Here is a 22,797-nt window from a genome sequence, read left to right as displayed (position 1 = left end):
TCAGTCTAGCAAGCATGTTTGCCTCGAACTGGATAGTCTGATCATTTAAAGTATTTCTTGCTTTAGTCTCATATGATGCCTGGTCTAATAGTCCCTACATCTTGCTGAAAGTAGGATGTACACAAAAGGAGAAAGTATAAGATTTTCTTGAAAAGGCTGAGCACTGGCGTACCTGAGCACTGAGATCTCTTATACTGGTCTTTTGAACTTGATAGATGGCAAGGCCCCAAAAATCGTGATCATAAAATCATCCTGTCCCATCCCCTGGAGGAAAGAGCTGACTTGCACCCTATGAATCCAACAAAATGGCCTTGGATAAATGGCCTCCCTCAGACATTACATCACCACTCAACCTCTCTGGGTTGACACTATATGGGTATAGCCAAGGTATGGAATGCAGTAGTAAGTACTCTCTAGGCCAGAGAGGCCCTCTAAAGTTATAACTTTGCTTTTTTTTTTTTTTTTTTAATAACTCCATGCACGCCTGATTAAGCCCACTTTGGGGCCTGGCATGCCATATGTTCTCCTTTATCTGAAATAAAGATATACTTTTAATGGGGGAAATTCAACCGTTGGTTTCCAGCCTTTGATTTGTTGTGATTTTAGGCTACTCTTTTTTTTTTCATCTCCTTGCCATTTATATCTTACATATTTTTAGCCCTTTAACTTGTAAAGCATTTTCATATCCACTATTATGTTTTTTTGTTGTCGTTGTTTGTTTGTTTGTTTTTAGACGGAGTCTTGCTCTATCACCCAGGCCGGAGTGCAGTGGCTCCATCTAGGCTCACTGCAACCTCTGCCTCGCAGGTTCAAGCAATTCTCGTGCCACAGCCTCCGGAGTAGCTGGAATTATAGGCACGCGCCACCACGCCCGGTTAATTTTTTGTGTTTTTAGTAGAGGCGGGGTTTTGTCATGTTGGCCAGGCTGGTCTCGAACTCCTGACCTCAAGTGATCCACCCACCTCAGCCTCCCAAAGTGCTGGGATTACAGGCATGAACCACAATGCCCAGCCCACTATTATATTTTAATGCTCCCAGCAACCTTTGGGTGCAATTGGACAGGTTTTATCCTCACGTGAAACTGAGGCCGACAGTAGTGTGAAACGGCAAATCGAATTGTTAGCAAAACCAGGACTAGACTCAGTTTCTTGTTTATGACTGTACCCTCTTGCTCATAGGCATGCTGCCCACTGTGTTATAGAGATCAAGCAATGATATGGTCTGGTGAGGAAGAACTGAAAACAGAATGTCGTGGCAGAGGAATTCCTTGTATGTCTTTTTTAGAGCGTGAATGTTTTAGGAAACTTTTTTTGAGGAAGGGGGCAGACTTTCTGTTTTGTAAAGAGAAGGTAGAGGGAATATAACTTTTTTTTAAAGGTACAAAAATAATTAAAACAGTAACATACATTTGTATGTATGAGGGAGGGATATTTAAAATTAAAATATTATATCATCACAAGAAAGATGAGATATTCCTTACTTTGCCCTTGGGCAACCAAGAAAATTAAAGCCTGTTTTATATCCCAAAAATAAGAGAGACTTGATAGAAGTAACAGTGTTCAGTGCTTGCAACCGAATTCAATTTATACTCTTGTTAGATAAGTCCAAATTCTAAAGGCTACAAAAATCCTGTTAAATCAAGGGAGGAAAAGAATCATTTTAGGACAAAGTTATTCAAGATGAAAGAAAGGCATGTCTTCAGTGAGAGAACTGCCTGCGGTTGGATGTTTGCTTGCTAATATGTTTAAAGATTTTGGACTTCTCAACTTTCTTGGTTTTCTGGTAGCCAAATCCACCACTGCCTACTCGCTTTTTCTGCTTGCCTTCATTGCTGTTGACGTTCAGATCAACAAAGGGAGGCACCTTGAAACCAATGACAGCAACTTGAGGCAAATTTAAGTTATTAAACATTAAAGATCTGTTTCAGAGAATGGGAATCGTAGGTTTGTATGTATGATTTATATGCTTCCTGAGCTGACTTATGAAAAAAGTAGTTCTTTTGAATCAATTTCTCAAGCTGAGACTGAATGTCAGAAATTTTAGACCAGGAAAAGTCAAATTCACTTAATGGAACCTTGGATCATTTCAGGTAGTGAAGAAAACCCAATTCTTCTGGGTGCAAAATGAGCAAGGCATGCCTTCTCCCATTTAGGTCTCTGGCTGTTCTACCCACACGATGAATATTATTCCTTAGGGTCATCCGGAGGGTCATACTGAACAATCCAGTTGACTTCAGTAATGTCCAGTTCTCTTGCTGCCACATCTGTACACAATAGTGTTCCTGAATCTGCATTGCAGAACTGGAAGAATGTGGTCGTATGCTTATTTTGCTTTTGCTTTCCATGAATGGCCAAGATGGGCAAATCAATGTAGTTCAGCAACTCATAGTGGTATTTCACGGACATACAAGATGAAAAGAAGGCCATAAGCTTCTTTTTTTGGTTCTTCTTAAGGAATGTAAAGAGTAGAAGGAATCTCTTTTCAGAAGGACAAACAACATATCCCTGCTCAAGACCATCCACTGTTGCATTAGCTTTATCGTCATCAACACCAACATACAATGGCTCCTTTTTCAGAGAAATCCTTGCCGGGCCTTCAACTTTTCAAGTTTGGGTGGCAGAAAAGAGCATCGTCTGTCTACGTGTTGGCAAAAGTTTAATAATTTGTTTTAATTCCTCTTCAAACTCAACATCCAAGATACGATCAGCTTCATCGATAACCAGACACTGCAGATTTTTATACATAAACCCTGGGATATTCTGCATATGGTCCAGCAGACAGCCTGGTGTGACCACAGTGATGTTGATCCCATTAGCAAGTTTCTGTGCTTCAGCAGATCTATTACTGCCACCCATTATCAACCCATAGGTATGCACGTGGTGACTCATTAGCTCCTTAAGAACACCAAAAGTTTGCATGGCTAGTTCTCTAGTAGGTGAGAGAATAAGGACCCCTGTTCCATTCCTGGGCATGAAATTTAACTTAACAATGAGTTCAGCTGCAGGATGAGAAAAGCTGGGGTTTTACCACTGACGGTTTTTGTAGCTGCAAGAAGATCCCTGCCTTCCAGAGGTGGTCTGATACTTTTATGCTGAATTTCAGTCACGTTTGTAAAACCCATTTCTTTTATTGCCTTCAGAGTGTTTTCATTGACAAGATTACATAAGAAGCAAATGAAGTATCCTCAAAAGCTCCTGTCAGTCCCAGGGGCAGGCTGGGCATCTCACTGTCATCTTCATCATCTGGCTTCTCAACATTATTTTCTGTTTCTTTAGGAGACTTGGCACTTTCTTCTTCAGATTCCCCTTTGTTTTCAGTTTTTGCTTTTTTTGTATCAGACTCAGCATCATTCACCATTTTTCTCTTCTTTTTTGATTCTGAATTAGGAGACTGCATTGCTGCTTCTCCATTGGTTAATACGGTGGATTTCTGGGGAGATTTTTTAACTTTTATATTTTCCACTGCTTCTTGAGACACATCTCCATTTTGAGCATCTGATAAGCCCACATTCATAGAATGTTTTGATTTTTTAACCTTTCCACCTCCCGTTGTTTCTTCAGACACATCTGTATTTTGAGTTTCGGACAGGGTCAGATTTGAGGCCCCCTGCAACTTTAGGTTCCACTGCCGCAGTTTGAGGTTCCACTTCTTGATCTTCTTGCGTAGGAGTTTCATCAGCAGGTGAGACATCCTGTCCAAGCAGTGTCTAGACCACGGGGCCAGACAGTACAGCTACTCAGTTCCGGAATATAACTTTATTAAATCAGCCATTTATAACTCTTTTTGAATCCTGGACCTTTTTGAAACTCTAAAAGCTATAAACAGTCATCTCAGAAAAATGTACACATCTACATTGTTTTCCATATAATAATAAAGTGTTTATGGAACTCTTGAAACCTAGAGGCTCAGGTATTATCAATCCTGGATTAAGATTTTACCTTTGGATTATGTTGTCTTTTAGTCTGTTTACTGATGCAATTTTAGAACTTAAAAGCTTAAAAGGTTTTGGAGTATGTGAGGCCTGCTAGGTATGGTCTGGTTTGTAATCGTTCAGTTGTAAAGGAACACAAGGTGACCTGGATTGTTCTTAGGAACAAGTGGAATTGATGTAATCTGGTGACAGGACATGGCAGTTCTTTAATGCATGGCTCCTGGCTAAGAGTCTGGCCCCACTAGGAAATCCCTGGTAGATGTTAATGAAGGGGAACAGAGTATAACCTGTCTCATCCTCCTCCTTAGAAATTTTACTTTTAGTAGAAGAGCTTTGCCTCTTTTTGAGATATCTTCAAGCTTTGGAGAAAAAATAATGTTACTTCCTCAGAATGCTGGAACACCTTTGCTTGAATGAAGAGTATAAATACTCATATATGGACTGAAGTGAGTGCTATCATCTCCTCACTCCCCAGTCCTCACATACAAAAACTGAAGCCCATGGAGGGGGGCTAATGGTTAATGGCCCCTCATCTTGCTCAGGTTTCCAAAATGGTTTGCCAAATAAAGATTCATCTTTAAGTAACGCTGGCCACTTTGTTATAACCAGCTGTTGGTAATTTACAGCACTTTTTTCCTTTTCTGCTGATTATTTGACTGTTATTGGCTGCCTTTATGGAATATTCCTTAATAGAATTTTTTCTACACAGAACCCATAAAGGTTGGTTATTTTAATAAACTGAAAGATCCAGAAGCCTAATGGAGCTGAAATGGCAAATGGCTCAAAGAAGCAAGAATAATGTAACTTCACTTGCAAAAATAGTGTTAATCTTATGGGTATGCGTATTTGTATGCTTTTATTGGGAGGCAGTGAAATTTCTCTTACCACAAATAAAATAAATCTACGGCTTTGCCCATTTCCAAAGAAAATTTGCTCTGATTGCTTTGGTTGGTATTTGTGGCAAGCACTGGTTATAAATGGTATGATCAAAGGTGTATTATATGCCAGTTAGCAAACCTTTTTCTGGAAATAGTCATCTAGAGAGCATATCACAAAGTTTTCAATCACATTGTTTTTCCCTTTCTGACAGAAGGTCAGGGGAAAATAAGAGCTGTGTTTGATTTAAATTTAAATAGCAGTCTCTCTGCTGTTACTGATCCAGGCTAGCGAGCCATCTGGTTTTTCTGTCCTAGTCAATACAGCTAATTAGACAGGCATGCCATTTACTGGAGAATCATTAATCAATTACTATGGAAGGAGCCTTTGGAGAGAACTGGGTAAGTTGATCAGTACTCAATGAATAGTAACTGATTGATATGTTTCCTTCTTCATCAACAGATGTTGGAGAAGATCAAATCCTGTGTAAGCACGCACCACAAACACACACATACACACACACACACATTTTCTATAAAGGTCAATGGATTGACAGAGGACATTTGGGTCAGTGAGACAGTGACAAATACCAGTCAGTAATCTTTTTCAGTGTTGTTCTTGGTGGTGGTCATGATGGTGGTTCCTTCCTGAAATCTATTGAGAGAGAGTTGTTGATCTCTTCCTATGCTCGAGCAAGTTAGTATCTCCACACTGACAGTGGATTGGATGAAACACCACCATGCACTGGCCTCAGGTTAACCCTACTTAAAATGTCTAGATCAGTAAACATTCAGATCAGTAAATAGCTTGCCCTCTTGGACCACAGAATGAATGAAAAGTGAGGTGAATCAGAATGTGGCCAACTTTTAACCTTTGTAGCCAGCTGGGAAAGATTATGGATAATGTGTGTCCACACAACTCATGTTCATTTTAGCATTGATATTTCCCACCTTACCCACAAAACCAAACAAAAATTAAATATATCTTCCACGCTGATCTAATTGTAGTCTATGGATCTCCTACCTCCCCCTCAACTCAGGGTGTTTTGGGAAATGGGGACTTTATTGCCTAGATAATGAAGTATTTATCTAGAAAGAATGAAGTATTCTTTCTTCCTCTTGGAGCCCCGCCCTGTTCTTCTCAATAGAGTATAAGATAAAAGGCTGTGCGAAGTGAGTTTCATTTTTTTTGTTTTTTATTTTTTCTTATATTCTTTTAAATCTTATTATTTATTTTTTCCTCTTACATTTGTTATTGCCTTTTTTTAGTACTAAAGCAGAACATGAAGTGAGTTTTTAATCTGTGGTTTCCCCCTCGTCATGTTTAGAATGACGTTAAAAAAAATAACTTAGAGAAGGCAATGAATTTTTCATATTCATGTCCCCATTTGGCCACAAACTTCATATCACTTTATTTAGTTTTTGCCTTTCTAAAGTTGAATAGTAATTTTTAGTTTTTTTCACAGTAGTGTATTAAATATGAACGTTGGTTGTGAAGTCATACATCATAAAAGGAAATAAAAAATATGAAACATAGGAATTTTGGGTAACCAATTTTTCTACTATGTTTCTATAGCTTGCCTATTTATATAGGAGTATCTGCTGTTGAGCCTTTCTGTTATCTAGGCCAGAAGCATTTTGCTCCAGGTCAGCTTCAGACCCCAAACACCAGATTTCCTGGGTGAGAATGAGCAGGTACTATTTGAAATTAGATCATCAAGATAAAAGAAAAGACAGAGAGAAAAACCTGTGCCTCCAATTTCACTACTTGAGGTGAAGTTCAGTTTTCTGGTTAATTGAAATAATTACTGTGTTTCTTAAGTTTTAATACGATGAAGTACTTTGGGTTTGTTTCCTTTGGTAGTGAAACAGTGCCACTGGCACTGTTTGGTCTTTGTTTTCTTGCTTATATTTCCTTGTATCCCACAGCAAATATTTGTAAGATGGCCCGCCTAGACCTGCAGTGTCCTGGTGGTCCTCTTAAGCACTAACCATCAGCAGCGCCCCACTCAGTGGCCCCAACCAGCCTGAGTCCAGGAGGGGATGATCCTTTCAGCATAGCTTTAGAAGACAGGAATCTTTCTAGCTGCTCTTATGATAGTAAATGTATCTCTGTACTCAGCTCACTTGAAATAATCTTTATTTCCACAAAGCTTAAAAAAAAGACAAAAGAGCTCTTAATGGCTACCTTATATTTTAAAATAGCCAGAACTCTGTCTGCTCTCCTGGAATACTCTTCTCCCAGATATCCACATAACTTGCTGCCTCATTTCCTTCAGGGCTCTATTCAAAATACCATTTTATCAAAGAGGCCTTCTGTGACCACCCTCTGTAAAACGGAAACTAACACCCCAACCCCCAGCACTCCCTATATGCGCTAACCTGCTGTTTAATTTTCCTCTGTAATATTTGTCACCACTGGACACATTATATATATATATGTTATTTTTTGTTTAACTTTTTTTTGCTCTACCCACATTATATATGTCTGTAATATTTTCCTCTTCCCATTAATGGAATGTAAGCTTCATGGGACAGGAACAGGGTCTCTTTTGATCAACTCTGCCTTCCCTTCCCTGGAACAATGCCTAACACATATTAGACATTCAATAAATATTTGTTTAATGAATAAAGGAATGACCTCACTTTTATTTCTGTCCTTATAGTCAGCAGTATCCCAGGCAGCCAACTTTTAATGCTAGAAGGCATCCAGCAGACAACCGTGAAATGCCATAATGAATTCTGCAGGACAGTTTTGTGATTCCAGAGTGTGTGAACACTTAAATGCCCTTACTAGATGGCAGCGAGGCAAGACGCCCTCCCTAAAAATCATCCCTAGCTGTTCTCTTATGGTGGGTGGAAGAAGAGTTCCAAGAGGAAGAGAGATCAGGAGTTGCCTTTATCCCTAAGAGGAAGCCTGTACATTCTATGCATTTTCTGCATATTTTAGGAGCTGTCATATTAAACCCAACAGGCCTTAACTCTGGGAGAGTTTTCTTCCTTCTAAGGCAGTCTTCTGAGTCAGCATTCTGTCTGAGAATCCTGTTTTCCCTTCTCATGGCTTTGCCCTGATGAATAGCCGAACAAATAGGAAAGCACTGATGCTTCACGATGAAATAGTAAAACCCCTGATAAGACCACTGGGCTCACTCTTCTTAAATATTACTTTTTGTTTGTTTAGTTTGCAGTGGTATGGGGGGCAGGGTAGCAGGAATTCCACATGAAGTTGATAGCCTCTTTTAAACGTGTAACGTAACAGGAAATGGTGGTGCCCGCCTGTAGTCCCAGCTGCTGGGGAGGCTGAGGCATGAAAATTGCTTGAATCCTGGAGGTGGAGGTTGCAGTGAGCCGAGATTGCACCACTGCACTCCAGCCTGGGCGGCAGAAACTCTGTCTCAAAAAAAAAAGTGTACATTAAATATATATGTACATTTACATTGTTGTGTAACCATCACCACTATCCATCTCTAGAACTTCTTCTTCATCTCAAACTGAAACTCTCTGCCCACTAAACATCAACTCCCCATTTCCCCTGCCACTAGGCCCTGGCAACCACCATTCTACTTCGTGTCTGAATTTTCATGACTACTCTAGTAGGATCATATAGTATTTGTCTTTTTGTGACTGGCTTATTTCAGTTAGCATGATGTGATGTCCTCAGAGTTGATCCATGTTGTAGCATGTGTCAGAATTTCCTTCCTTGTTAAGGCTGAATGATGTTGATGGACACATAGGGGATTGATTCCACCTCTTGGCCATTATAAACAGTGCTGTTATGAACATAGGTTGCAAGTATCTCTGATCTTGTTTTCAGTGCTTTTGGATATATACCCAGAATTGGAATTGCTGGATCATATGATAATTCTATCTTTAATTTTTGGGGGAACTATTTTCTGGGTCTTTGTTTTGTTTTTCATAGTAACCATTCTGATGGGTATGAGGTGGTATCTCATTGTTTTGATTTGCATTTCCCTAATGATCAGTGATGTTGAACATCTTTTTGTGTGCTTAGTGGCCATTTGTATATGGCCATGTTCTACTTCTTTGGAGAAATGTCTGTTCAAGTCCTTGGCCCATTTTTAAAATCATGTTGTTTTTTCTTTGTTGTTGTTGTAGTTTAGGAAACTTTTAAATTAAAGTTTAACAAGACTGGCCTTATGAGTTTCCTTGTCTTGAGCATGTTTGTGGAGTGACTTATCAAATCACTTGGGCTGGCAGCTTAGGGACTTTTCAGGTCTAATCCAGCCTCCAACATTCCTTCACAGTGTAATCATAGAATCTTAGAATTAAATGAGCCTTACAGAGCCACCAGTCCAGTTCTCTCATTTTGCAGATAAAGAAACTGAGCCCACTGCTTTTTCCACTGTGCCCTGATTACCTAATCCCTATAGATAGCATTTTCTTCATCTTTAAACCCACCTGTCTTTGCCTTTTTTCTCATGTTCCTACAAGTGTTTTGAAGGCTAGGAAATTGATTTTAAATGATTGCACAGTATTTAGTAATTTATGTTAGGCAGGAGGTTGTGTGTATGTTGGACTTACACTTTTTGGGGATGTTCGATGTCATTTTCAAGTATGACATTTTCTTTAGAAAACTCTAGACCTGGCTAGGCGTGTAGCCTATTCCTATAATCCCAACACATTGGGAGGCTGAGGCAGGAGGATCCCTTGAGCCCAGAAGTTTGAGACCAGCCTGGGCAATGGAAGTGAGACCCCTGTCACTATAAAAAATTAGCTGGGTGTGGTGGTGCCTGCCTGTAGTCCCAGCTACTTGGGAGGCTAAGGCAGGGCAATCATTTGAGCCCAGGAGGTCGAGGCTGCAGTGAGCAATGATTGTGCCACTGCACTCCAGCCTGGGTGACAGAGCAAGACCCTGTCAAATAAATAAATAAATAAATAAATAAATAAATAAATAAGCTACATGTCGTGGTGCATGCCTGTGTTCCATCTCCTGGGGAGGCTGAAGCAGGAGGATCACTGGAGCCCAGGAGGTCGAGACTGCAGTGAGCCATAATCGTGCCACTGCACTCTAGCATGGGCAACACAGCAAGACGCTGTCACATACACACACACAAAAGGAAAACAGTAGGCCTTTCTTTTTCAGGGAAATGAGCAGATGGGGGCAAAAGACAGGACGAAGTAATGCTGACCTCACCTTAAAGTAAAACACGTTAATCACTGGAAATAAATGAACTCTCAAAATTACTCTCTCGTTGCTATTAGACAATGTTAGACAATACTTTTATGAGTTCACATTAGAGTAGATCTGGCACAGTGTCCTTTTTGAGATCAAGCAGTTTGGAGCTGCCACATAAGAGACCACTGCTTATGCCCAGGCACTAATTCATGGCTATGTTGGTGATGGCTTCCTGCTCAAAGATATCAGCTGGCAGTAAGGAAGTTCAGGATACTTGGCCTTACGTGAAAGATCTCTGGGAAGCTCCTAGTTTTTACGTTCTGCATTAAAATTTTTTTTTAATTGTGGTAAAATATACATAACATGAGATTTACCATTTTAACCATTTAAAAATACACAGTTCAGTGGCATTAAGTACAATCACATTGCTGTGCAGCCATCACCACTATCTACCTTCAGAACTTCTTCATCATCCCAGACTGAAACTCCCCAACAAACGCTAACTCTTCATTCTCCCTCCTCTTAGCTCCTGGCAACCACTTGCTGTTTCTGTGAATTTTATTACTCTAAGTGCCTCATATAAATGGAGTCATACAATATCTGTCTTTTTGTTTCTGCCTTATTTCATTTAGTATAACGTCACGGTTTATCCATGTTGTAGCATGTGTCAGAATTTCATTCCTTTTAAAGGCTGAATAATATTCCATTGTATGTATTACCACATTTTGTTTATCCATTCATCTATCAGTAGACCCTTGGGTTGTTTCCACCTTTTGGCTATTGTGAATAATGCTGCTATGAAAATGGGTATACAGATATCTCTTAGAGTCCGTGCTTTCAATTCTTGGATATATACCTAGGATTGTAATTGCTGCATCATGTGGTAGTTCTATGTTTAACTTGTTGAAGAATTGCCATATTGTTTTCCACAGCAGTTGCACCGTTCGTTAGTCATTCCCACCAGCAATGCACAAGGGTTCTCACTTTCTCCACATCCTTGCCAATACTTGTCAATTTTTTTTTTTTTTGGTAATAGTCATCCTAATGGGTGTGAAATAGTATTTCATTGTGGTTTTGATTTGCATTTTTCTAATTATTAGTGATGTTGAGCATCTTTTCCTATACTTACTAGCCATTTGTATATTTCTTTGGAGAACTGTCTAATTTGCCCCTTTTTTGAATTTTTTGAATTAGGTCATTTTTTGTTGTCGTTGCTGAGTTTTAGCTAACATGCCTTTTGATTTGCAGGTATTTTTAAGAGGGTGTTTGCTGTGTGGTGCCTTATAAATATATGCCCATTTATCTTGTTTATTTAAAGGAAATCTCTGTACAGATAGATATATTAAAAATCAGTATGTTTAGGCCAGTTGTGGTGACTCACACCTGTAATCCCAGCACTTTGGGAGGCCAAGGCCAGCGGATCACCTGAGGTCAGGAGTTTGAGACCAGCCTGGCCAACATGGTGAAACCCCATCTTTACTGAAAAATACAAAAAATTAGCTGGGCGTGGTGGCGTGTGCCTGTAGTCCCAGCTACTCTGGAGGTTGAGGCAGGAGAATCACTTGAGCCCAGGAGTCGGAGGTTGCAGTGAGCCGAGATTGCACCACTGTATTCCAGCCTGGACAACAGAGCAAGACTCCATCTCAAAAAAAATTAATATGTTTATTGTTACATATTGTATTTATTCTATATTATAATATATAATGTTATCTATATATTTTTTGTTCCAACAGTATATCCTTTCGGGCTCTGATGACTTCAACCTGTACATGTGGAGAATTCCTGCAGATCCAGAAGCAGGCAAGTATATCCTTCACATGAATGTACTGCTATTGCTGGCTCTGTTGACCTTTGGCATGCTGTGCCCTGAGGGGACAGATCTTTAGCAGTAGAGGACAACATTTCTAACATAAGCTGTGACCAAAGGAAATTTAAAAATAAAAATTATAAACCAGATTAAACTATATCCCTCAGACATAGTCTTATCTGACATAAATGATGCTTAGATTTTTTTTTCCTCCTAAAAACTTTTCTTCAGACTTCATAGAACTCCTTTATGTCCCTTATTTCCAGTCTCCTCCTATTTCACACCTGGATTTTTTTTTTTTTTGAGACAAAGTTTCACTCTTGTTGCCCAAGCCAGAGTGCACTGGTGTGATCTTGGCTCACTGCAACCTCTGCCTCCCGGGTTCAAGCAATTCTCCTGCCTCAGCCTCCTGAGTAGCTGGGATTACAGGCACACGCCACCACACCGGCTAATTTTTTGTATTTTTAGTAGAAACAGGGTTTCACCATGTTGGCCAGCCTGGTCTCAAATTCCTGATCTCAGATGATCTCCCCTCCTCAGCCTCCCAAAGTGCTGGCATTACAGGTGTGAGCCACCGCACCCAGCCCACACCTGGAATATTTTTGTCTTGCTTTTATGTGCTTTGCTTTTATTATCCATCTTCATATTCTTGCTTATTATTCTACAAACAGTTGGTAGGGCTCTTTCTTTCCTTTGTCCTCCCTGGTCATGTTAACTAAAGGGAGGCTTTCTTTGTTGATGGACAGGTATGTTCCCTGGGGCTTTGTTGACCCAGGACGTCAAAGAAATTAGGAAGAAATATTTTTACATTTGCTATAATTGTATTCTGAAAAAAGGCTGCAACTTTCCATAAATTTGTATTTAAGCTATCTGAGCTTTCAAACAGTGTGGATCATACCTCTTCATTCTTTTTACTTAGTTTCCCCCCCCTTTTCTTTTTCTTAGGATGGTTTGTTTCTTAATCTTCTTCATTTTTGATAATAGTGTCTTCATGTGCTCAATGAGTGTTACCTAATGGTAGAAAAATGTCTGTTTTTAATACTCAAACAGCTCAATATAGCCACCTGTTCCAGGTGATACATGACATTAAGCTGGAAAATGACCTTTAGGAAAATTAGAGGACTATGCCAAGTATATTACACAAAACGTGTCTATAGTAGTGCTCAGAGTTTAGGGAAGTTCTTGGCTGTTGCTGAATTAACAATATTCTTACCAAACATCTGCCTTTCAAAACCTGTTGGGGCCTACTTTTGGCATAACTCAACATTTGCTGTGGTCTAGTTACTAAACAAGTTACAAAAGGGCTTTTCCTCTTCTAGAATTTAGAAAGTGTGAGTGAAACAGCTTACCTTTGACACAAGCAAATGGAACAGCAGTAGTCTACCTGAACAAAGAGTGATGTTCTAGCACTTGAGGTGGTTGTGGATACAAGTCTCCCACCCCTGTAATTCCTAGCTTGATTCGTTGAGAAGTAATCTTTGGGTTTAATTGTATCTTTTACCTGATCTTGAAAAGCTTTTAATTTGTTAGTATGACTTTAAAAATAGAATGTGGATAATCCTTCTTCTCCCCAGGACTATTCTCTGGAATGTTTTTCACGTTTGAATAGAGAGAATAGGAAAGAATTAGCAATAGTATTGTAGGTTTTTTTCTTCTCCCTGCTGCTTTCTTTTCTTTTTTTTGTAAGAGACAGGGTCTCACTCTCTTGCCCAGGCTGGAGTGGAGTGGCATGACTTTGGTTCACTGTAGCCTCAAACTCTGGGCTTAAGTGATCGTCCCACCTTAGCCTCCCAAAGTGCTGGGCGTATAGGCATGAGCCACTGTGCCCAGCCCCCTGCTGCTTTCTTTACTGATTTAGGATGTCGACCATCTAGTCTGCCAGAGCTGCAATAACGAAGTATCACAGACTGGGTGGCTTAAACAACAGAAATTTATTTTCTCACAGTTCTGCAGGCTAGAAGTCCACGATCAAGGTGCTGGCAGGTTTGGTTTCTCTCGATGTCTCTTTCCTTGGCCACCTTCTCACTGTGTTCTCACTTTTCTCTGTGCACATGCATCCCTAGTGTCCCTTCCCCTTCTTATAAGGAAGTTCTCATGTCACCTTCTAGATGTTCTCCAGGGATAGTACCCCTAAGTTTATTTAGTAGTTCCTTAAAAAATAGTTATGTCAATTCCTCTGCTGTACTGATTTTCTCTCCTGAATTTGTTCTACCCCATTTATGGATTAACTGAATACATCTAGCAGATTTAGTCTGACCAGGCCAGATAAGAATCTTTGGCTGCTTTATTCTAAAATGCACTATGCAGTGTTTCAGAAAGTACACCCAGTGTCACATAAGCTTTTTTAGAGGCCACAGAACCCATGATCTGTTAATACTTTCCACATAGGCTATGGTTGGTTCTGCATCCCCATCCTTTACTTGGTACTTGGGCTTCTTTGTGCACAAGGACAGGACCTTATAACTATCCCTGTTGTTGGATTCACTGTAATTGAGGGTTTGTTTTCTCTGTATCACTCTTCAGCATTACATTGTTAATCACAGCAAGTCTGTCCCTTTGATCATCATCTTGCTCTGTATGTAACTAAAGTATCTTTTAAGATTATTTTTAGCATGTCTTGACTCATTTGGGGATTCAACCCTTCTGCCACTATTCTTACAGATCCCACCCACATTTTTTTTCTTTTCTCTCGTTTTTTTTTTTTTTTTTTTTTTAAAGTCAGGGTCTCGCTATGTTGCCCAGGCTAGAGTGCAGTGGCTATTCACAGGCACAATCATAGCATACTGCATACAGCCTTGAGCTCCTGGGCTAAAGCGATCCTCCTGCCTAAGCCTCCCAAGTATCTAGGACTACAGGTGTGCATCACTGTGCCTGGCCTCTTTTATTTTTTCTTATTCATGAATCTTCTCTTTTTCTTTCTGTTCTTCCTTCTTGTTCTTTTTTATTACCTCCACTATTTTTGTAATTAAGTACTTCTTTTTATCAAAGTAATACAGCTATATAATTTTTAAATCAAATAATATTATAAAGCTTATTTTTTAAAAGCACAATAGTCCCTTTCTCTACCTTTGCCTATAACATGCTCATAATATTTTTGGATTTTCAATATTAGACATTCTCTGTTGACTTTCTACTATTGAAATCAGTCAGTTTCCCAAAAGAGGAATCTTCATTCTCCTACCTAGAGAGTATTTGCCTGGTAATTAAACTATGGCTCTTAAAAGCCAAATAGGGAAATGGGGCTGTGGGTCTTACAGATCTATATGAAGACTTTTGTTTAATGACACCCCCAGCTGTGCCTTGTATTGCCAATCTAAAACCTCTTTGGGTCAATGTCAATTGGCAACCCCCAGACTTCTGCTTATATGGGGAAAGGATGGTTTCCTGGCCATGTGCATGGTTTTAACTCCTCCTGTTTTCAGCCCTACTCTTCAACATGGCTTCAGGACTATTTGGTACCTCTCATTTTTATATGTAATACCTCAATTTTTAAATGTTGGCAATTAATGCATAGCTATAAAAAATATTTAGCAAGGTTCAGCAAGCCTAACAAGATATCTGTGGGCTGGATGCATCCCTTGAGTTCTAACTTTGAATGCTTAGATGAGGAAAATTTTGTCAGGAAACTCTTAATCCAACCTAATGTCTTTTTGACTTAAATAATCATGGGCCAAAGATAAGTGCGTACACATTCATTCATTCATTCATTCTCTCTCTCTCCCTCTTCCCCCTCCCTCCCTCCCTCTTTCTCTCTCATATTCTCTGTGTACCTTTTGGATATATGATTCTAAGGCAGGCTAGTAAGGGAAAGCTGGCTTGCCATTGTATACCTAATGGCATGATCAGAACTAGACTCTAGATGACAAGCAGTCAGCATTTATTTGATGCCTGCTGTGTGTTTCATGTGCGTGCCGAGTGCTGAGAGAACGAGATGGAGAGTGGTCCTGAGTGTGAGCCAAAGTCAAGGCCTTCTTTTTCTTCTGCACACTCCTGCTCAGGAAGACTGTTAATCAGTCTTTGTTTTTTTTGCTATACAAACTCCAAAGAGATGAAATTTATTTACTGTATAAACAATACTATATAAGTCTTTCCAATAGGACTTCCTAGTGGGCTGAGGAGATCATTTCAAGATGTAAGACCTATATCCACTATAAAACTTGCTACCAGGGAAGATCAGGTCCAATTTTTTAGTAATTTCAAACAACTCATTCTAAAAATCCCTTTAAAAATTAAAGGAAGGGGCCGGGTGCAGTGGCTCATGCCTATAATCCCGGCACTTTGGGAGGCTGAGGGGGGCAGATCACTTGAAGTCAGGAGTTTGAGACCAATCTGGCTAACATAGTGAAACACTGTCTTTACTAAAAATTCAAAAATTAGCCAGGTGTAGTGGTGCACACCCATCATCCCAGCTACTCGGGAGGCTGTGGCAGAAGAAACGCTTGAACCCGGGAGGGAGAGGTTGCACTGAGCCGAGATTGCACCGCTGCACTCCAGCCTGGGTGACAGAGGAGACTCCGTCTCAAAAAAGAAAAACAAAAAAAAAAAAAGAAAAATAAAAATTAGAGGAAGGAATAGAACTAGAACTGGGAATTTTGCTGTGGCAGAGAAGAAGTCCATTGGAATATGTCTAAGACCTCTAAAGTAGGTAGGAAGGGCATCTGTTTTTATGTGGTAATTCTGAAAATAAAATAAGTAGACCAGCAGTTACATATAGAGCCAGTGTTACATATTGAAAGGAGCATTAGACTTAAAATCATACCTGGATTCAAGTCCTCTAACTTGAACTTAACTACCACTAACTACATGTCTGATTCTTAGCAAGTTACATAATAGTATTTGTCTGAGCGTCAGTTTCTTACATAAAATGTCTCCTACCTCTGCCTTATATTGTGTGTTGATTTAATAATCTTGGAAGCTTTCTGAAAACAATGTGTATTCAAATACAAGACATTGTTATTGCTATGTATAGTAAGATCGATGTAGATCCATCATTTCCAAAGCATTTTTTCCCTAGTAAGTTAGGTATGAAAGTAATGGATTTGGCAATGTGTGGGAAAGGTTGGTAGGTGTCTCTTGAAAATATTTATATTGCCTTTCCCTTCTCTTTCCCTGAATTCTTGTTAGAAAGGGCTTTAGGGTTTTCACAGGTTGAGTTGCTTTTCCAGAGCTACCTCTTACTCTAAGACCTTCTTATTTATGGAAAGAAGCATAATGTGATAGAGTTGTTAGGAATGGCTTTAAATTCCTGATCCATTTATCTTCCAACTGGGGGCTTTGGAAAAATTTCCTAATCTTACCAAACTCCTGTGAAATAAGGATAATACCACCACCAACAACAATAATACTTTCTTAGGATTATTGTGAGAGTACTTAGTAGCTACTCAACGACTGTTATTCCTCACTAAGAAAGCCTTCTCGGCTGGGCACAGTGGCACATGCCTGTAATCCCAGCACTTTGGGAGGCTGAGGTGGGAGGATCGCTTGATGCCTCAGGAGTTTGAGACCATCCTGAGCAACATAGTGGGAACCTGTCTTCACAAACTTTTTTTTTAAAACTAACTGCTGCTAGGCACAATGGCTCGTACCTGTAATCCTGGCACTTTGGGAGGCTGAGGCGGGAAGATCAGTTGAACCCATGAGTTTGAGACCAGCCTGAGCAACACAGCAAGACTGTGTCTCTAATAATAATAATAAAAAGAAAGAAGAAAAGAACGAAAGAAAGAAAGAGAACAGAAAGAAAACTGGGCATGGTGGCATATGCCTGTAGTCCCAGTTGCTCAGGAGGCTGAGCAGGACTATTGCTTGAGCCCAGGAATTTGAGGCTGCACACTTCAGCAACAGAATGAGACTCCGTGTCTACAAAAGAAGAAAAAGAAGGCCTTCTCCCTTTTTAAACTCACCTTTTAATAACTCCTTAGAGATCAAGACATTGTCCTTCCTTGCTACCCACCTGGAATGGCTGATTGAGTTGTTCTTGCATGAAGGCTGCCCTTGACTCATCAGTAGTTCAGGAGGGTTCTCTTATGTGACAAATTTTTCCCTGAATGGAAGGGAAAAACATGTATTTTTACTGCCGAGTCACTGTAACCACCCCCACTGGCAGTAGGCTGATGAAGTAGGCTGGAAACAGCTGTAAATGCATTTTTTTGGGCCTGCATATGTTTGTGTGCTCTGTCTTCTTTTTCTAGACATGTATTCACTCTCAGTGACTTAGGCCTAGGTATCTGCTTTTTCCTCCCATGTAACTGGAAAAAACAGCTGTTTTTAATTGGTTGCAAGTAGTTGGTTATAAACACATGTGAGGCACATATGATGAAAGAAGAACTCAGCATAACTGACTTTTTTGTGCAACTAAGCATTGATGCCTGTGGAGCTCTTTGAGCTGTACTGACAGCATTGGCTGTCCCCATCTGGCTTTTCTCATTTCTTAAGTAGTTATGTGGTCTCCAGGAGGCAGTCACTGCTCTGTCCGTATTGTCAGTATCCTTGATGGTCCTCTTTATGGTTTGACACTGGAAGACCCTGCAACTGTTCACTTGGGCCTTTTTGAAATGCTAAGAGGCTTGGATACCTTTTTTAGATGTACCAGGAAAAGAAATAGTCTATGCCTTGCAGTAAACTTTTTTTTTTTTTTTTTTTGAGATGGAGTTTCATTCTTATTGTCCAGGCTGGAGTGCAATGGCATGATCTCGGCTCACCGCAACTTCTGTCTCCTAGGTTCAAGCTATTTTCCTGCCTCAGCCTCCTGAGTAGCTGGGATTACGGGCATGTGCCAGCATGCCCAGCTAATTTTGTATTTTTAGTAGAGACAGGGTTTCTCCATGTTGGTCAGGCTGGTCTCGAACTCCCGACCTCAGGTGATCCTCCTGCCTCGGCCTCCCAAAGTGCTGGGATTACAGGCATGAGCCACCACATCTGGCCCTTGCAGTAAACTCTTAATTCTACCAGTGGGGTCAAGAATGAAATAGATTGTCTTAAATCTACTTACCAAACCTCATTTTAGCAGATAACTTTAACTTCAAGCTTTATTCCAGAGAGGATGATGAGGGCTTTAACTTCAATTTGTTCACTTATTGAGTATCCTTAGATAAGACATCATGTAAAGCTCTATGGGCCACTGAAAAATGAACATTTTTTGCCTTCAGAGAGCTTCCAATATAACAGAGATGAAAAAAGGATGTGCATGGGCACACACACAGACATATGCACTCGATGTAAAAGTGGCTTCTGAGGCCCATAAAAAAGATAATGAAGGAGGTCTTGAAGAGATTTGGGAAGATTGGTAAAGTTTTCCTGCAGTTAGCATTTCAAAGGACCCTGAAGGATAGATAGGATTTCAGCCCCTTTATTTCTCTGCTCCTGCTTAACTACATTATAGTAAAAATGCTGTAAAAGAATATCTGGGCCAGGTGCAGTGGCTCAGGACTGTAATCCCAGCACTTTGGGAGGCCAAGGTGGGCAGATCACGAGGTCAAGAGATTGAGACCATGCTGGCTAACATGGCGAAACCCCATCTCTACTAAAAATACAAAAATTAGCTGGGCTTGGTGGTGCGTGCCAGTAGTCCCAGCTACTCGGGAGGCTGAGGCAGGAGAATCGCTTGAACTGGGGAGGTGAAGGTTGCAGTGAGCCGAGATCACGCCACTGCACTCCAGCCTGGTGAGACTCCATCTTAAAAAAAAAAGAATATCTGGGCTGGATTAGGTGGCTCACACCTGTAATCCCAGCACTTCCGGGGGCCAAGGCAGGAGGATTGTTTGAGCCCAAGAGTTTGAGACCAGCCTGGGCAACATGGCAAAACCCCATCTCTACAAAAAGTACAAAAAATTAGCCAGGTGTGGTGCCATGTCCCTATAGTCTCAGCTACTAGGGAGGCTGAGGTAGGAGGATTGCTTGAGCCTGGGAGCGGGGGGTTGCAGTGAGCTAAAATCATGCCACTGCATTCCAACCTGGGGAACAGAGTGAGACCCTGTCTCAAAAAAAAAAAAAAAAAAAAAAAAGATACGAAATCGGCTGCAGGAAGATGGAAAAAAAGAAACATTTATTGGGTGATGGAGCCCATATGTGAAGATTTTTTTTTCCTGCATGCTTGTGTTCCACCATCTAATACACTCACATCTTTTCATTTCATCATATATTTATTAAAAACCTTACTATGTGCTAGGCACAGTTCTAGAGACTTGGGATACAGTGGAGACAGAAGCCCTGCTGTCATGGAGCTTATGTTCTAGCAGGGGAAACAATGAACAATAAACATAGTAAATTATGTAGTATGTTTAAAAGGTTAGAAGTGCTATAGAAAAAGTAGAACAGAGGAAGACGGGAAGTGGTATTGAGGACAGTGTCCCAGCATGATTGATAAATTGCTATTAGACCAAGACATCAAGAAATCTTGACCACATTGCTTTCAGCTTTTGAGTCAAAAACGTACTCATTCTTGGAGGACTTCATGAAGCAAATGAACTTGACACTAAACAAAAGCAACTGAAATTGGCTAGAAATGGGAATAGTATTCTGGCTCTTCAAAGGCCTGAGGCAATAAACCCCTGGCTGAATGTTATGAAAGTGGGCCATAAGTAGAGAAGGGAGGGAAATTAGGACATACACATTTCCCTTAGTCTTCTCTAGGGAGACATTTGACCTTGGCATTTAGAAAGATCTTTATCTGAATTTTGAGCAAGGTGTTTTCCCCTGGGATCCTGGGGTCCCCTACGGTAGTAAGTGGATTACTGATACTGAAATTCTGTGAGATACCTTGTTCTCATTTTCTTTTCTGAGATCTTGCAATAGATATGGTTATAGTCTTCCCTACCCCCCTACCATCTCTTCTAAATCAAAGAAAGATTAATATATGGGGACTTTGGCCTCAACTTAGGAACTAAACTTAAAAAGGAGTGTCAGCTGGCCAGGTGCAGTGGCTCATGCCTGTAATCCCAGCACTTTGGGAGGCCAAGGCGGGCAGATTATGAGGTCAGGAGTTGGAGACCAGCCTAACCAACATGGTGAAACCCCATCTCTACTAAAAATACAAAAAAATTAGCTGGGCGTGGTGGTGTGCGCCTGTAATCCCAGCTAGTCGGAAGGCTGAGGCAGGAGAATTGCTTGAACCCAGGAGGAGGAGGTTGCAGGGAGCTGAGATCATGCCACTACACTCTAGCCTGGGCAACAGAGCAAGACTCCATCTCAAAAAAAAAAAAAAACAGTGTCAGCACATTTGGCTAAGCCAACCAAAGCAGATGGCCCAGAGAAATGACTGTTGGTTTATACAGAATTTTATAAACAAATGGCAGCTCAGGAATGAGATCCTTTTTCCTGGGTATGTGGTATTTTATTTATGGGTACCCATTATTAGCGATTCAGTCAGGACTTAGTTCAGCAACCAGGGGGTGAAGTTGATCCTTACCTGGGCCCTTACCCACAGTCTTAAGAGATGACCCTGAAGGGAGATTATGTGGGTTATATAGTTCTTGGATAAAAATATGCCCTTCCTGTCTCCTTCCAATTTGATACTACTATTGACCAGCATGGTCTGATTAGATGACAGAGGAAAGGAGACCCTAGATTCTTTCTGATATTGGCATTTTGACTTTAGCTATTTCAAATTAAAGGAGAAGCTATCTGGCTTATACAAATTTCTAGGACTAATCTCAAAAAATGATTGTACGTAAACTGTTCAGTAGCAGCTATATTCAATAATATCAAACCTGGGAACCAGGAAAGAAACTATGAAAAACCTCTCTGAAGCCATTTATTGCTATGATTGTACACAGTCTTGGTTACCTTAAACAAATGGCCACTATAATTCTGCCTGTACCTATTTTCACCATCAGTCTCTGGGTTTATTGATTCCCTCTTCTTTTTCAGATTTCCTAGGTACCAGCATGGGTGGAAAGAAGGGCAAAAAAGACCTTGTGTTAAAATTGCTACCAAGAAGAAAAATCAGGGCTGGGTGTGGTGGCTCACGCCTGTAATCCCAGCACTTTGGGAGGCCGAGGCGGGTGGATCATGAGGTCAGGAGTTCAAGGCCAGCCTGGCTAAGATGGTGAAACCCCGTCTCTACTGAAAATACAAAAATTAGCTGGGCATGGTGGTGGATGCCTGTAATCCCAGCTACTCAGGAGGCTGAGGCAGAGAATTGCTTGAACCTGGGAGGTGGAGGTTGCAGTGAGCCGAGATCGAGCCACTGCACTCCAGCCTGGGCAACAGAGCAAGACTCCGTCTCAAAAAAAAAAAAAAAAAAAGAGGTCATATTGCATGAAAGTGCAAGAGAAACAGTTTTTCCATGGTCTGAATTTTCAGGCATTGATAGCCTTCAATTAGTCTTTAGATCTGATAGTTACTTTAATTGTGTTCCAAGTCAGAAAGATTGGTTTGGTTGATGCACTTTAGTTCTATGATAGCTGATTCTTTATATGAGACCTTCCAGCTGTCTTCTTTTGACATACTTATTCTAAAATTGCTTTCTTTTCAAACACTATGCATTCAGCAAGTATTTATGCACCTGGTGGACTTTGGACATTGCACCCCAGGTTCTAGGTATGCAAGAGTAGGTAAGACAGATCCAGTTCTATTCTCATCATGTACTCAGTGTCAGTGGTGTGATGAAATGGCTTATGGTAATGCTGTAGAGCTTGTGCTCAGGATACCATTGAATACAGTGCCCCTCCTTTTAATTTAGAACTTCAGAAGAAAACCACCTATCTAATAACTGCCTGAAAGATTTAGAAATCTAAATCTTTTGAATGTAAGCTTCTAACTCCATTCCTATTCAAACTCTTCCATCTTCCAAAGGCAGCTGATATGGTGGAAAGCATATTAGGCATTGTAGCCAGACTCTGGTTCAAATCTTGGCTCTGCCATTTTCTAGCTTTATGACTTGGGATAAGTCACTTAAATCCCCCCACATCCCCCCTCTTTTTGAGGCAGTAGGATTAAACAAGAGACTGTTACTAGATTTAAATCAAAGTTTCTTTGCTTAACCACCCCAGTGGGAGTAGAGGTAGAAGTAGGATGTTAAAAAAGTAAAATTCAGAGGACACCCATGAGC

The 22,797-nt window shown here is 40.4% G+C and overlaps 1 protein-coding gene and 1 pseudogene across 13 annotated transcripts in view, besides 2 other annotated features; one reads left to right on the top strand and one right to left on the bottom strand.

Annotated features, from left to right (window-relative positions):
- The window catches only part of DCAF5 (DDB1 and CUL4 associated factor 5), a 102,317-nt gene that overhangs the window by 66,110 nt on the left and 13,410 nt on the right, over window positions 1–22,797 (top strand). For all 13 annotated transcript variants that reach the window (XM_006720298.3, XM_006720297.3, XM_011537278.2 and 10 more), the window contains one exon: window positions 11,677–11,743. In XM_006720298.3, coding sequence (XP_006720361.1) covers window positions 11,677–11,743 — 67 coding nt within the window. The remainder of the gene's footprint in view (window positions 1–11,676; window positions 11,744–22,797) is intronic.
- DDX18P1 (DEAD-box helicase 18 pseudogene 1) lies at window positions 1,374–3,743 on the bottom strand (annotated as a pseudogene).
- Window positions 20,229–20,328: an enhancer, noted in NCBI's record as "active region_8633". NCBI's record gives its function as "activates an Ori minimal core promoter by ATAC-STARR-seq in GM12878 lymphoblastoid cells {active_cell/tissue: GM12878}" and the evidence as "EXISTENCE:reporter gene assay evidence [ECO:0000049][PMID:35858748]".
- Window positions 20,419–20,468: an enhancer, noted in NCBI's record as "active region_8632". NCBI's record gives its function as "activates an Ori minimal core promoter by ATAC-STARR-seq in GM12878 lymphoblastoid cells {active_cell/tissue: GM12878}" and the evidence as "EXISTENCE:reporter gene assay evidence [ECO:0000049][PMID:35858748]".

Source organism: Homo sapiens, chromosome 14 (genome assembly GCF_000001405.40).
Source record: "Homo sapiens chromosome 14, GRCh38.p14 Primary Assembly".
NCBI classification, from domain to species: domain Eukaryota; kingdom Metazoa; phylum Chordata; class Mammalia; order Primates; family Hominidae; genus Homo; species Homo sapiens.
The sequence above is the reverse complement of the archived record's forward strand: the minus strand, read 5'-3'. Positions and strand labels throughout refer to the sequence as shown.